Source organism: Homo sapiens, chromosome 14, assembly GCF_000001405.40.
Source record: "Homo sapiens chromosome 14, GRCh38.p14 Primary Assembly".
Taxonomy (NCBI): domain Eukaryota; kingdom Metazoa; phylum Chordata; class Mammalia; order Primates; family Hominidae; genus Homo; species Homo sapiens.
Window position 1 is genome coordinate 105824930 of NC_000014.9, and position 13278 is coordinate 105838207.

Genomic DNA, 13278 nt, shown 5'->3' on the forward strand with positions numbered 1-13278 from the left:
ATATTTATTATACTCTAAGTTCTAGGGTACATGTGCACAACGTGCAGGTTTGTTACATATGTATACATGTGCCATGTTGGTGTGCTGCACCCATTAACTCGTCATTTACATTACGTATATCTCCTAATCCTATCCCTCCCCCCTCTCCCCACCCCACAACAGGCCCTGGTGTGTGTGATACCTCTTTTTTTAAAGTAAGCAGTCATTTTACTTTATGACAAAAATTTATCACGCAAGATTCTTCCTTTTTTAAAAAAATTCTCTTTTCTTTTTAACCTTCCGTACCAAAAATACATCTTCATACCCATAACTTTCTTCACATACCTCTCTTCTACTTACTGTTTTTTAAATTTTTTAATTCTTTCAGTCTTCTTAATTTTTTTAATGTTTATTTTTCCATAGGTTATTGGAATACAGGTGGTGTTTGGTTACATGAATAAGTTCTTTAGTGGTGATTTGTGAGATTTTGGTGCACCCATCACCCGAGCAGCATATGCTGCACCATATTTGTAGTCTTTTATCCCTCTTTCCTCTCTCACCCTTACCCCCAAGTTCCCAAAGTCTATTGTGTCATTCTTATGCCTTTGCATCCTCATATCTTAGCTCTCACATGTCAGTGAGAACATACGATGTTTGGTTTTCCATTCCTGAGTTACTTCACTTAGAATAATAGCCTCCAGCCTCATCCAGGTCGCTGTGAATGCCATTAATTCATTCCTTTTTGTGGCTGAGTAGTATTCCATCACATATACATACTACAGTTCCTTTATCCACTTGTTGATTGATGGGCATTTGGGTTGGTTCCACAAGTTTGCAGTTGAAAATTGTACTGCTACAAACATGAGTGTGCAAGTATCTTTTTCGTAGAATGACGTCTTTTCCTCTGGGTAGATACCCAGTAGTGGGATCGCAGGATCAAATAGTAGTTCTACTTTTAGTCCTTTAAGGAATCTCTGCACTGTTTTCCATAGCGGCTGTACTAGTTTACATTCCCACCAGCAGTGTAGAAGTGTCCCCTGATCACTGCATCCACACCAACATCTAATGTTTTTTGATTTTTTGATTATGGCCATTCTTGCAGGGGTAAGGTGGTATCGCATTGTGGTTTTGATTTGCATTTCCCTAATCATTAGTGATGTTGAGCATTTTTTCATATATTTGTTGGCCATTTGCATATCTTCTTTTGAGAATTGTCTATTCATGTCCTTACCCCACTTTTTGATGGGATTGTCTGTTTTTTTCTTGCTGATTTGTTTGAGTTTGTTGTAGATTCTGGATATTAGTCCTTTGTCAGATGTACACATTGTGAAGATTTTCTCTCACTCTGTGGGTTGTCTGTTTACTCTGCTGACTGTTCCTTTTGCTGTGCAGAAGCTCTTTAGCTTAATTATGTCCCAGCTATTTATCTTTGTTTTTATTGCATTTGCTTTTGGGTTCTGGTCATGAAGTCCTCGCCTAAGCCAATGCCTGGAAGGGTTTTTCCAATGTTATTGGAAATTTTTATAGTTTCTAGAATTTTTACAGTTTCAGGTCTTAGATTTAAGTCTTTGATCCATCTTGAGTTGATTTTTGTATAAGATGAGAGATGAAGATCCAGTTTCATTCTCCTACACGTGGCTTGCCAGTTATCCCAGCACCATTTGTTGAATAGGGTGTCCTTTCCCCACTTTACGTTTTTGTTTGCTTTGTCAAAGATCAGTTGGCTGTAAGTACTTGGGTTTATTTCTGGGTTCTCTATTCTGTTACATTGGTCTATGTGCCTATTTTTATACCAGTACCATGCTGTTTTGGTGACTATGGCCTTATAGTAGAGTTTGGAATCAGGCCGTGTGTTGCCTCCAGATTTGTTCTTTTTGCTTAGTCTTGCCTTGGCTATGTAGGCTCTTTTTTGGTTTCATATGAATTTTTTTTTGTGACAGATTCTCATTCTTTTGCCCAGGCTGGAGTACAATGGCACAATCTGGGCTCACTGCAAACCTTCCAGGTTCAAGTGATTCTCCTGCCTCAGCCTCCTGAGTAGTAGCTGGAATTACAGGCACATGCCACCACACCCGGCTAGTTTTTGTATTTTTAGTAGAGATGGGGTTTCACCATGTTGGCCAGGCTGGTCTTGAACTCCTGACCTCAAGTGATCCTACTGCCTTGGCCTCCCAAAGTGCTAGGATTACAGGCATGAGCCACCGTGCCTGGCCTCCATATGAATTTTAGAATTGTTTTTTCTAATTCTGTGAAGAATGATGATGGTATTTTGATGGGGATTGCATTGAATTTGTAGATTGCTTTTGGCAGTGTGGTAATTTTCACAATATTGATTCTACCCATCCATGAGCGTGGTATGTGTTTCCATTTGTTTGTGTCATCTATGATTTCTTTCAGCAGCGTTTTGTAGTTTTCCTTGTAGAGGTCTTTCCCTTCCTTGGTAAGGTATATTTCTAAGTATTTTATTTTATTTTTTGCAGCTATTGTAAAAGGGGTTGAGTTCTTGATTTGATTCTCTGCTTAATTACTGTTGGTGTATAGAGTAGCTACTGATTTGTGTACATTAATCTTCTATCTGGAAACTTTGCTGAATTTTTTTTTCAGTCCTAGGAGCTTTCTGGAGGAGTCTTTAGGGTTTTCCAGGTAAACAATCATATCATCAGTAGTGACAGTTTGACTTTCTCTTTATCGATATGGATGCCCTTTATTTCTTTCCCTTGTCTGATTGCTCTGGCTAGGACTTCCAATACTGTGTTGAAGAGGAGTGGTGACAGTGGGCATCCTTGTCTTGTTTCAATTCTCAGAGGGAATGCTTTCAACTTTTCCCCATTCAGAATTATGTTGTCATGGATGGCTTTTTCTACACTGAGGTATGTCCCTTGGTATGCTGATTTGCTGAGAGTTTTAATCATAAAGCGATGCTGGATTTTGTCAAATGCTGTTTCTGCATCTATTGAGATGATCATGTGATTTTTGTTTTTAATTCTGTTTATGTGGTGTATCACATTAACTGACTTGCGTATGTTAAACCATCCCTGCATCTCTGGTATGAAACCCACTTGATTGGGGTGGATTATCTTTTTGATATGTTGTTGGACTTGGTTAGCTAGCATTTTGTTAAGGATTTCTGGCATCTATCTTCATCAGGGATATCGGTCTGTAGTTTTCTTTTTTGGTTACGTCCTTTCCCGGTTTTGGTATTAGGGTGATGCTGGCTTCATAGAATGAATTAGGGAGGCTTCCCGCTTTCTCTGTCTTGTGGAATAGTACCAATAGGACCAATTCTTCTTTGAATGTCTGGTAGAATTCTACTGTGAATCTGGTCCTGGACTTTTTTTTGTTCTTGGTAATTTTAAAATTACCATTTCAATCTCGCTGCTTGTTATTGGTCTCTTCAGGGTATATAATTCTTCCTGATTTAAGCTAGGAGGGTTGTATTTTCCTGAGAATTTATCCATCTCTTCTAGGTTTTCTAGTTAATGTGTGTAAAGGCGTTCATAGTAGCCTTGAATGATCTTTTGTATTTCTGTGGTGTCAGTTGTAATATTTCCCATTTCGTTTCCTATTGAGGTTATTGGGACTTTCTTCTTTTCTTGGTTAATCTTGCTAATGGTCTATCAATTTTATTTATCTTTTCAGAGAACCAGCTTTTTGTTTCATTTATCTTTTGTATTTTTTTGTCTCAATTTCCTTTAGTTTTGCTCTGATCTTGATTAATTCCTTTCTTCTGCTGGGTTTGGATTTGGTTTGTTCTTGTTTCTCTGGTTCCCTGAGGGGTGACCTTAGAATGTCAATTTGTGCTTTTTCAGTCTTTTCGACGTAGGCGCCTAGGGGTGTGAACTTTCCTCTTGGCACCGCCTTTGCTGTATCCCAGAGGTTTCAACAGGTTGTGTCACTGTTGTTGTTCGGCTTCTTTTGGAGTTTATTTCCTATCATATGGTCACATTCTATTCAACGGCGTATGGAACATTCTCCAAGACAGACCGTATGATAGGCCACAAAGCAAGCCTCAATAAATTTAAGAAAATTGAAATTATATCAAGCACTCTCTCAGACCACAGTGGAATAAAACTGGAAATCAACTCCAAAAGGAACCTTCAAAACCATGCAAATACATGGAAATTAAATAAACTGCTCTTGAATGATTATTGGGTCAAAAACGAAATCAAGATGGAAATTAAAAAAATTTTTGAACCGAAAGCACCAGGTAACCTATAAACGAAAACCTATCAGATTAACAGCAGATTTCTCAGCAGAAACACTACAAGCTAGAAGAGATTGGAGCCCTATCTTCATCCTCCTCCAACAGAACAATTATCAGCCAAGAATTTTGTATCCAGTGAAACTAAGCATGTGGTGCTTTTGTCTCACAGCTCTTAAGATTCTTTCCTTCATCTTAACTTTAGATAACCAGATGACAATGTGCCTAGGTTTTGTAGATTGCTTGTTTTAGTTTTAGTTTTAAAGATCTTTTTGTGATGAATTTCCCAGGTGTTCTTTGTGCTCTTGTATTTAGATGTCTATGTCTCTGGCAAGGCTGGGGAAGCTTCCCTCAATTGTTCCCCCAAACATGTTTTCCAAACTTTTAGATTTCTCTTCGTCCTCAGGGACACCAATTATCTTAGGTTTGTTCATTTAACATAATCCTAGACTTCTTGGAGGCTTTGCTCATATTTTCTTATTCTTTTTTCTTTGTCTTTGTTGGATTGGGTTAATTCAAAGACCTTGTCTTCGAGCTCTGAATTTCTTTCTTCTACTTATTCAGTTCTGTTGCTGAGACTTTCCAGAGCATTTTGCATTTCTATAAGTGTGTCCAATGTTTCCTGAAGTTTTTATTGTTTTTCTTTATGCTATCTATTTCCTTGAACATTTCTCCCTTCACTTCTTGTATCTTTTTTTGGATTTCCTTGCATCGGGCTTTGCCTTTCTCTGGTGCCTCCATGATTAGCTTAATAACCAACCTCCTGAATTCTTTTTCAGGTAAATCAGGGATTTCTTCTTGGTTTGGATCCATTGCTGGTGAGCTAGTGCGATTTTTTGGGGGTGTTAAAGAGCTTTGTTTTGTCATATTACCAGAGCTGGTTTTCTGGTTCCTTCTCATTTGAGTAGGCTCTGTCTGAGGGAAGGTCTGGGGCTGAAGGCTGTTGCTCAGATTCCTTTGTCCCACGGGGTGTTCCCTTGATGTAGCACTCTCCCCCTTTTCCTGTGGATGTGGCTTCCTGAGAGCCGAGCTGTGGTGATTGTTATTTCTCTTCTGGATCTAGCCACCCAGCAAGTCTACCAGGCTCCAGGCTTGTACTGGGGGTTGTCTGCACAGAGTCCTGTGATGTGAACTGTCTGTGGGTTTCTCCGCCGTGCATACCAGCAACTGTCCCAGTGGAGGTGGCGGGGCGGTGAAATGGACTCCATGAAGGTTCTTAGCTTTGGTGGTTTAATGCTCTGTTTTTGTGCTGGTTGGCCTCCTGCCAGGAGATGGCGTTTTCCAGAGAGCATCAGTGGTGGTAGTATGGAGAGGAACCAGCAGTGGGTAGGGCCCTAGAACTCCCAAGAGTATATGCCCTCTGTCTTCAACTACAAGGGTGGGTAGGGAAGGACCATCAGATGCGGGCAGGGCTAGGTGTGTCTGAGCTCACAGAGTCTCCTTGGACAGTTCTTGCTGCAGCTGCTGGGGGGGATGGCTGTGAGGTTCCTAGGTCAATGGAGTTGTGAACCTAGGAGGATTATGACTGCCTCTGCTGAGTCATGCAGGTTGTCAGGGAAGTGGGGAAAGCCGGCAGTCACAGGTGTCACCCAGCTCCCATGCAAACTGAAGGTGGGTCTCACTCACACCATGCCCCTCGCCAACAGCACTGAGTCTGTTTCCAGGCATTGGGCAAGCAGAGAACTTGCCCCAGGCTACCTACTTCCCAGCTATGAAGAAGGGCTTTGGTTGTTCCTCTACCAGTGGGGTCTGCAGGATTCGTGCCCTCCCCTGCGTTCAGCTGGAGACTTCCTTCTCCCTGTGACATTTTCCCTGTGCCTCTGGCCACCCTCCCAAAGTATTCATATGGTGCCATGCAGGAATGGCCTGCCTGGGGACCCAGGAAGCTCCCAGGGCCTTTCCCGCTGCTCCCTGTACCCCTGTATTTCGCTCAGCTTTCTAAATTGACTCAGCTCCAGGTAAGGTTGGAACCTTTTCCCACCAACTAGACCTTTGGTTTCTCTAGTGAGGGTGTGTGTGCAGGATGGACGATCTCCCATTCCCACTTCCACAGTTTGGGCACTCACAGTATTTGGGGTGTCTCTGGGTCCTGCAGGAGCAGGCTGCTTCCTTCACATGGTCTGTGGATCCTCTTGGGATTCCTGATTTATTCCTGCAGTTGTTCTGGAGCTAAAATTCACGGTGCCAGCCTCCACATGTGCTCTGTCCATCCCAGTCGGACTGCAATCTAGTCCTGACTCCTGTCCACCATGATGATCTCTCCCCCTTCATTCTTTTGAATGGCTGTGGAGTTTTCCACGGAATGTTCTGTGGTTTATTGAAACAATTTCCCACTGATGGGCATTTAGTTTGTTTTCAGGTCTTTATGCTGCAAAGCATATTATTGTCCATATACCTTAAAGTTACTTGATCAACTCTATTTGTAGATTAAATTCAGTTCCACATGGCTGGAGAGGCCTTGGGAAACACAGTCGTGGTGGAAGGGGAGCAGGTACGTCTTACGTGGGGGCAGATGAGAGTGGTTCTTTTCCATCTTGTTTTTACTTTTTTCCTAAATCTGTGCTTTGAAACAACCTTTAAACAAACTCCAAATTAGATAAATTTTTTTTTGCAGTAAAATAAATTATAAATGCCTGTCTTATAGTTTTTAAAAATGAAAAACACATCTTATTTTTTGTGGTATACTTTGTAGACAGAATTATATATATTAATTAGAATTTTAACTCTTAGTAACCTTATTTTCTAGCAAGCAAATTTTAACCATTTGTCACATATCACTATTTTATAGATGAGAAAAATTTTATAATTTTTGAAAACATATTTCTATGACATAATTTTTACATATATTAATAGACCCAAATAAATTTAGTCTTTCTACAAAATTTCTATAAAATTTAAGAAGCCAAGAACAAACATTTATGTTCAGTAATTTGTGTTAGTTTTAAAAATCTTATTTGGAAATGACCCAGACATTTAATGAGTATCTATTATTTAACTGAAGATAACATAATTTTAAGATCTTAAATTACATAAGAAGCTTATTTATAAACATTTATTTTCTTGACATTTATCTTATTTATTTATTTATTTTAGTGATGGGGGTCTTGTTGCATCGCTCAGGGTGGTCTGAACTTCCGGGCTCAAGCAATCCTCCCACCTCAGCCTCCTGAGTAGCTAGGACTATAGGCGTGTGCCATGACACCAGGCTTAATTAATTTATTTTTAATAATTTACCTAGATTACTTATGAAAATTGAGATATTAGACAAAGCTAGCCATTACTTAAAGTTATTTCCCTTTTAACCATTTTTATAGCCTGTGATTATTAGATGTTCACTTAGTAAGAAACTTAGTGAAGTGTATGGGTATTTTGTCGATAGCTCATAAGATACAGCTGTTTTTATTAAGCCTGCAATATTAAATTAGCCTTTTTTTTTTTTTTTGAGATGGAGTCTCGCTGTTGCCTAGGCTGGAGTGCAGTGGCGCTCTCTTGGCTCATTGCAACCTCTGCCTCCCGGGTTCCAGTGACTTTCCTGCCTCAGGCTCCCAAGTAGCTGGGATTATGCCCACCACCACACCTGGCTAATTTTGTACTTTTAGTAGGGATGGGGTTTTGCTGTGTTGGCCAGGCTGGTCTCAAAGTCCTGACCTCTAGTCATCTGCCCACCTTGGCCTCCCAAAGTGCTGGAATTACAGGCATGAACCACCGCACTCAGCCAAATTAGTCTTATTTATCAAAGATCATACAAAGATTATTCTGTTTTAGGATGGGTTTATAGTTTTATCATCTTTGTGTCAAACCCTGACATCTTAAAACATCTATCAGAGACAAATATAAAGCTGTCTGACGAGTAAACTCAGGGAAAAATATATGCTGACAATTCTGAGAACATTTGTATTTTTATTTTACCAACAATTTTAAAACTGATTTGTTTATTAAAGATATACTTAAGTCACATGAACTAAAAGGCATTTGGGTTAATTAGTACATATTTTTTATGAATGCTTATTTATCTAAGCCAATCTAAATAGAATCCCTTAATAGATTTTTTGTTGATGATGCCAGATTTTACCATGTAGATAACAACATACAACATAATACACATACATATGCATAAACACAATTAACCACATACGCACACAAATAAAGACACTGTAGCTTTCATTTTAGAATTTTGGTCATGAGATAATAACACAAATGTGTCAGTTTCTAAAAGACACTTCAATCCAAATTATATTTTTGACAAAACTGGGACTTGTTCACAAGCTAAACTTTATTTGTCCTGATGGGTCGTCTAATGAGGGCCATGGATCAGAATTTTGGGTAAAGCAGTTTCTGCATTAGTTTGATTTCAAAAGACCTTTTTCAGTTTTAAATGAATTTAAGGTTAAATTTCCAGTGATTGCGTTTTAGCTAGGACTGGCTGAATTGTATATGAAAAACAAAATCTTCAACTCGTCTATACTAGTAACAAATCTATTTTTTGGTTGCTGGTCTGATTTTCTGGACTAGACAATGCATGCAGGGAAGCATTTAGCAGTGTTTTTCCTTTTTCTGGCACCTGTGGCAAAGCAAAATTTTTATGGCAGACAGAGATACCTTATATTACTGCTCTAAGCTCAAGATTTTGGCCTGTTCGATCTGAAAGCCCAATTTCTGTAAATATTTACCTAGTTCTGTTCTTTGAGACCATCAGTCCTTCAGTTAGCTATTCCATCAGCCTAAGCAGTTGTTAGCCAAGCAAAGCTAATCTACATTTTCAAAAGAAATGACTCTTACATCTAGGTCATTGGTTACCATAGAGCTGTTGTAATTTGTAAAGCCACTAATTTAAAACCTTTAGGAAACTTTAAAAAATCTTGGGCCAGGCACGGTGGCACACGCCTATAGTTTTAGCACTTTGGGAGGCCAAGGCAGGTGGATCACTTGAGGTCAGGAGTTCAAGACGAGCTTGGCCAACACAGTGAAAGCCTGTCTCTACTAAAATACAAAAATTAGCTGGGCATGGTGGCGGGCACCTGTAATCAGCTACTCAGGAGGCTGAGGCAGGAGAATCACTTGAACCCGAGAGGCAGAGGTTGCAGCGACCCAAGATAGCGCCACTGCATTCCAGCCTGGGTGACAGAGTGAGACTCCATCTAAAAAAACAAAAAACAAAAAACAAACAAACAAAAAACCAAAAATATCTTGGCTGGAATGCTGTAACCAGTGAGTTTTATTGCAACATGAGTAAAAAAGTCAGCAGATTTAAAGTAGGCAGAAAAACAAAATAGAGAGATAGAGGACTTAGGAGGCACTGCATGATGACTACTGTTGCAGGGTTTTTGTTAGAGTTCGAAAAATAACCATTGGAACTCTAAATTTTCCTTGACGTAATTTGCCCATTAGTTTAAAAATGTGCACAAAGACGTAGCCAGCGGGAGTTCCAGAAAACTTACTGTGCCTTAATATTTAAAAACCATTCCCCTTCTTATTAATCTTTTTACAGTAAAGAACATTCTACAGATACTATGAGGCCACGCCGGCAGTTTGGACTGGTGCTTTAGACGGTGGTGACTGCTGTAGCAGCTTCTAATGAGACAGCCTGTGCCCACCATTTAGAATGTTTATTTTGCTCTCCAAAGATTTTTAGAAGCAAGCAGAGGAAAAGAGCCAGGTCATTTACAGATACACATAACCACAGCAAAAGAAGGCAAGATAAGGGTGCTCACAAATATGTTCACCCAGGCATGCATATCCAACAAAGTATTAAAGGAGGCACCTCACCAGAGAAGACATCCCTCAGAGACAGAATGCAAACTCTGTGGAAACCAGAGTACTCAGGCTGGAATGTCTTTATGCTAAACAGGACTTGCCAGAAAGCACGAAAAGCCTTTTATCATCCCAGGAGGGACATAAGGTCCTTTATTAAGGCAGTCTAATAAACAAACCCCACATAATATTAAAAAAGCATCTTCCAAAAAGAGGGAGGGTTGGCCTGAGAGAAGACGGAGTAGCTCAGAAAAAGCTGAGAGCTCAAAGGGCTCAAGTGAATACTGCACACCGGCCCAAGAATTACTGACTCCTTCCAGCAGTGATCCTTCTCCACATCCCACTTCTGACTCCATGTATCTCAATCTAAATAACAAGAGAAATGCCGTCTAAAAGAAAAAGATATCTATTTGGAGGTAGAGCACTGCAGTGGGATACACCTGCCATGATCAGCTATGTGCGTATTCAGGGAGGCAAAGGGAGACCAAGGCTTTCAAAGGAAAAATGAGGAGGATTACATGATTGCTTTGAGATAATTACCCTCTCTACAAGGACCAATAACAAAGGCAATGCCAGTCTGAGGTTGGACAGCCCGTTGCTGGGAAGATGTCCTCACAGAAGTACTTTCTGTGTAAGGTTGTGATGGTCTTTGTGCCAGTTGCAGTTTTTGTAGAGTCCTTGGTGATAGTTTTTGTTATCAAGTGTTTATGGATGAGAACCCTCTTCTCTTCTTGGCCTTCCTAGGCTCTATTTGTCAGGGATTTAGAAAAAAAAAAAACCACAGGTGACTCAATTTTGATTCTGATGACTTCCACATACTACAGACGTGGTGGCTGAGAAACAACAGAAACTTATTTCCCACCATTCTGGAGGCTGAATGTCCCAGACCAAGGCTCCAGCCGATGGGTGTCTGGTGAGGCCTGCATCCCAGCTCATAGACGGCATCTCCTCACAGGGGAGAAAGGGTGAGGGAGCTCTCTGGGGCCCCTCTCATAAGGGTGCTAATCCTCTTCATGAGGGCCCCCCTTTTATGACCTCAGCACCCCCAAAAGCCCCATCTTCTAATACCATTACATTGGAGGTTAGGATTTCAGGGGGAAAGGTATGAATATACGAATGTATGAATTTCAGGAGGACACAAATGTTCAGCCCACAGCAGATGATAACAGGAGGTCCGACCAATACCTGGGTCCTTGCTGAGCCCCTTTCAGATAGGATTTTACTCACTTCTCACCTCACTCTACTTGACAGGTGTATTTTCACCCCATTCTGATGAGGAAATGGAGGTACGGAGTTCAGGCTCTTGCCCACAGTCATGCAGACAGTAAGAGGTGCAGGCTCTCGATACACACAGAACAGGCTCCATGTGCAAGGTTGTTCCCGTGCCATCCTGTCATGGCGTGTGCATGCATAAGTGTGCATGTCTGTGTGTATGCGCGTGCACGAGCATGTGTGTCTTTGATGCCTATGTGCACTTGTGTGTGTGCAGGTGCACGTCCGTGTATGTGCATGCAGATGTGTGTGTCTGCAGACCTGCACATGCATGCCTTGTGCATGTGTGCCCATGCCTGTGCATCTGCCTGTTTGCATGTGAGTGTACTGCATGTGTGTGCATATATGTTTATTCGTGAGCTGTGCACATGTGCATGTGTGCATAGATGCTTGTGTGCATGTGTGTGCATGTACGAGTGAGCGTGAAATGTTTGTGTTTGGTGTGGGGAGGGGCGTTTCTTAACCCATTAACTTCAGAGCAAGGTCTCCGCTCAGTTCTTGCTGTGACAGCTTTGGCTATTGCGTTCCCTGTTGCTGCTGACACCCCAAACTCCCTTCCCATTGCCGTTAGCTCCCTGTGTCCTTTAACTTGAGGTGAATCCAGACCACTGGGACAAAGAACAGGAGGCAGGTGAAATGAACCAAAGTGTGTTTATGGGGAGGCCAGCGGGCTGCAGGTGGGACTAGCTGGCTCTGGGGGAAGCACAGGAAGGAGGCATGGGGGTTAGGGCCGGGGCAGGGGTGTAGCTGGCTCTCGGGGAAGCATGGGAAGGAGGCACAGGGGTTAGGGCCGGGGCAGGGGGGCTCTGATTCGCCTGCGGAGTGATGGGTGCCCGTCCCCCTGGTCTAGAAGACTGGGTTCTGTGGCGGACAGAGGGGAGCCGGGGGCAGGGGCTGGCGCATCTTCCTGCACACAGAAGAGTCCAGGGTGGGTCCTTTCTGCTCTCTGGTAGCCACAGATGAGGTACAGAGGCTGCTTCCCTTCTCTGCAGGTACAGGGCGTCCTGCTCTTCTGGGGCTACTTCACCTGAAAGACAGCCCCTGGGGTCAGACAGGGGGCTAGAAGCCTGAGGGGTGGAGGGGCAGGGGAGACAGAGGAGCAGGGGAGGGGGTGTTGTCCTTTATCCACAGGGTCAAGAGGGCCTTCGACAGTGTCCACAGGCCACAGAGGGCCTGCATGTCCTCCAGGCTCCCTCAGCCCTGCCTCTGCCTGGTCCAGGATCCCTGGACCAACTCTGGCATGTCCCCTGGAAGGGCACCTTGCCCCACACCCACCCCGAGGGTCACTGAGAGCCTGGCCGCTCCCCTGACCTTGATGAAAGTGACAATGCCGCTGTAGAGGAGGGTGAGGATGAAGAGGGCCACAAACGTGGACAGGGTGGTCCACAGGCTGCCCACATCATCAAAGGTCGTGTAGTCATCGCTGTTCTCATCCTTGCTCTGAGGGATCAGGGGGGTCATGGCCAGGTCTGGGGAGGAACGGGGGCTGAGTGAGAAGCTCCCTGGTCATGAGGGCCAGGCTACCCCTCCACCCACCCCCGCACAGCGTGGAGCTGAAATGACGGCGAGTCTTCCCAGGAGGCGTGGTTATCTCCAGGGAGCTCCCAGCCTCACCCTCTTGCTCATATGTCCCCTCGACAAATCTCTGCCTACTGTGTCCTCCCCGCCTGGACTTGTCGCTGCCCTGAGTGGGGCAGACAGACAGAACCATAGACTCTCATGGATTGGGCTCCCGTGACAAAGGTGACGGGAGGCTGGGGCACTTCTGCACACCTGCACACAGGGAGGCCTTCCTTAGGAAGTGGCCACTGTGACAAGGTGTGGAAGGCAAGACACAGCCGGGCAGCAAGGAGAGAGTGGCTTCTCCGCAGCGGGGAAAGCAGGTGCCCTGAACTGGGGGTGCTGACTAAGGAGGGTGGAAAGGGGCCCAGGAGGGGATATCCAGGCAAGGTGATTTTATCCCAGCAGCAGGAGGGAGCCATGGAAGGGGGCTAAGCAAGGGTCTGTCATGAGCAAATGTGTGTATAGAAGGTCATCTCCAGCTGGAGACGGCAGTGGGGCCCAAGGCAAGCCTA

General features: G+C 43.2%; 1 gene; it reads right to left on the reverse strand.

Moving 5' to 3' along the window:
• The window catches only part of IGH (immunoglobulin heavy locus), a 1293408-nt gene that overhangs the window by 238493 nt on the left and 1041637 nt on the right, over positions 1-13278 (reverse strand).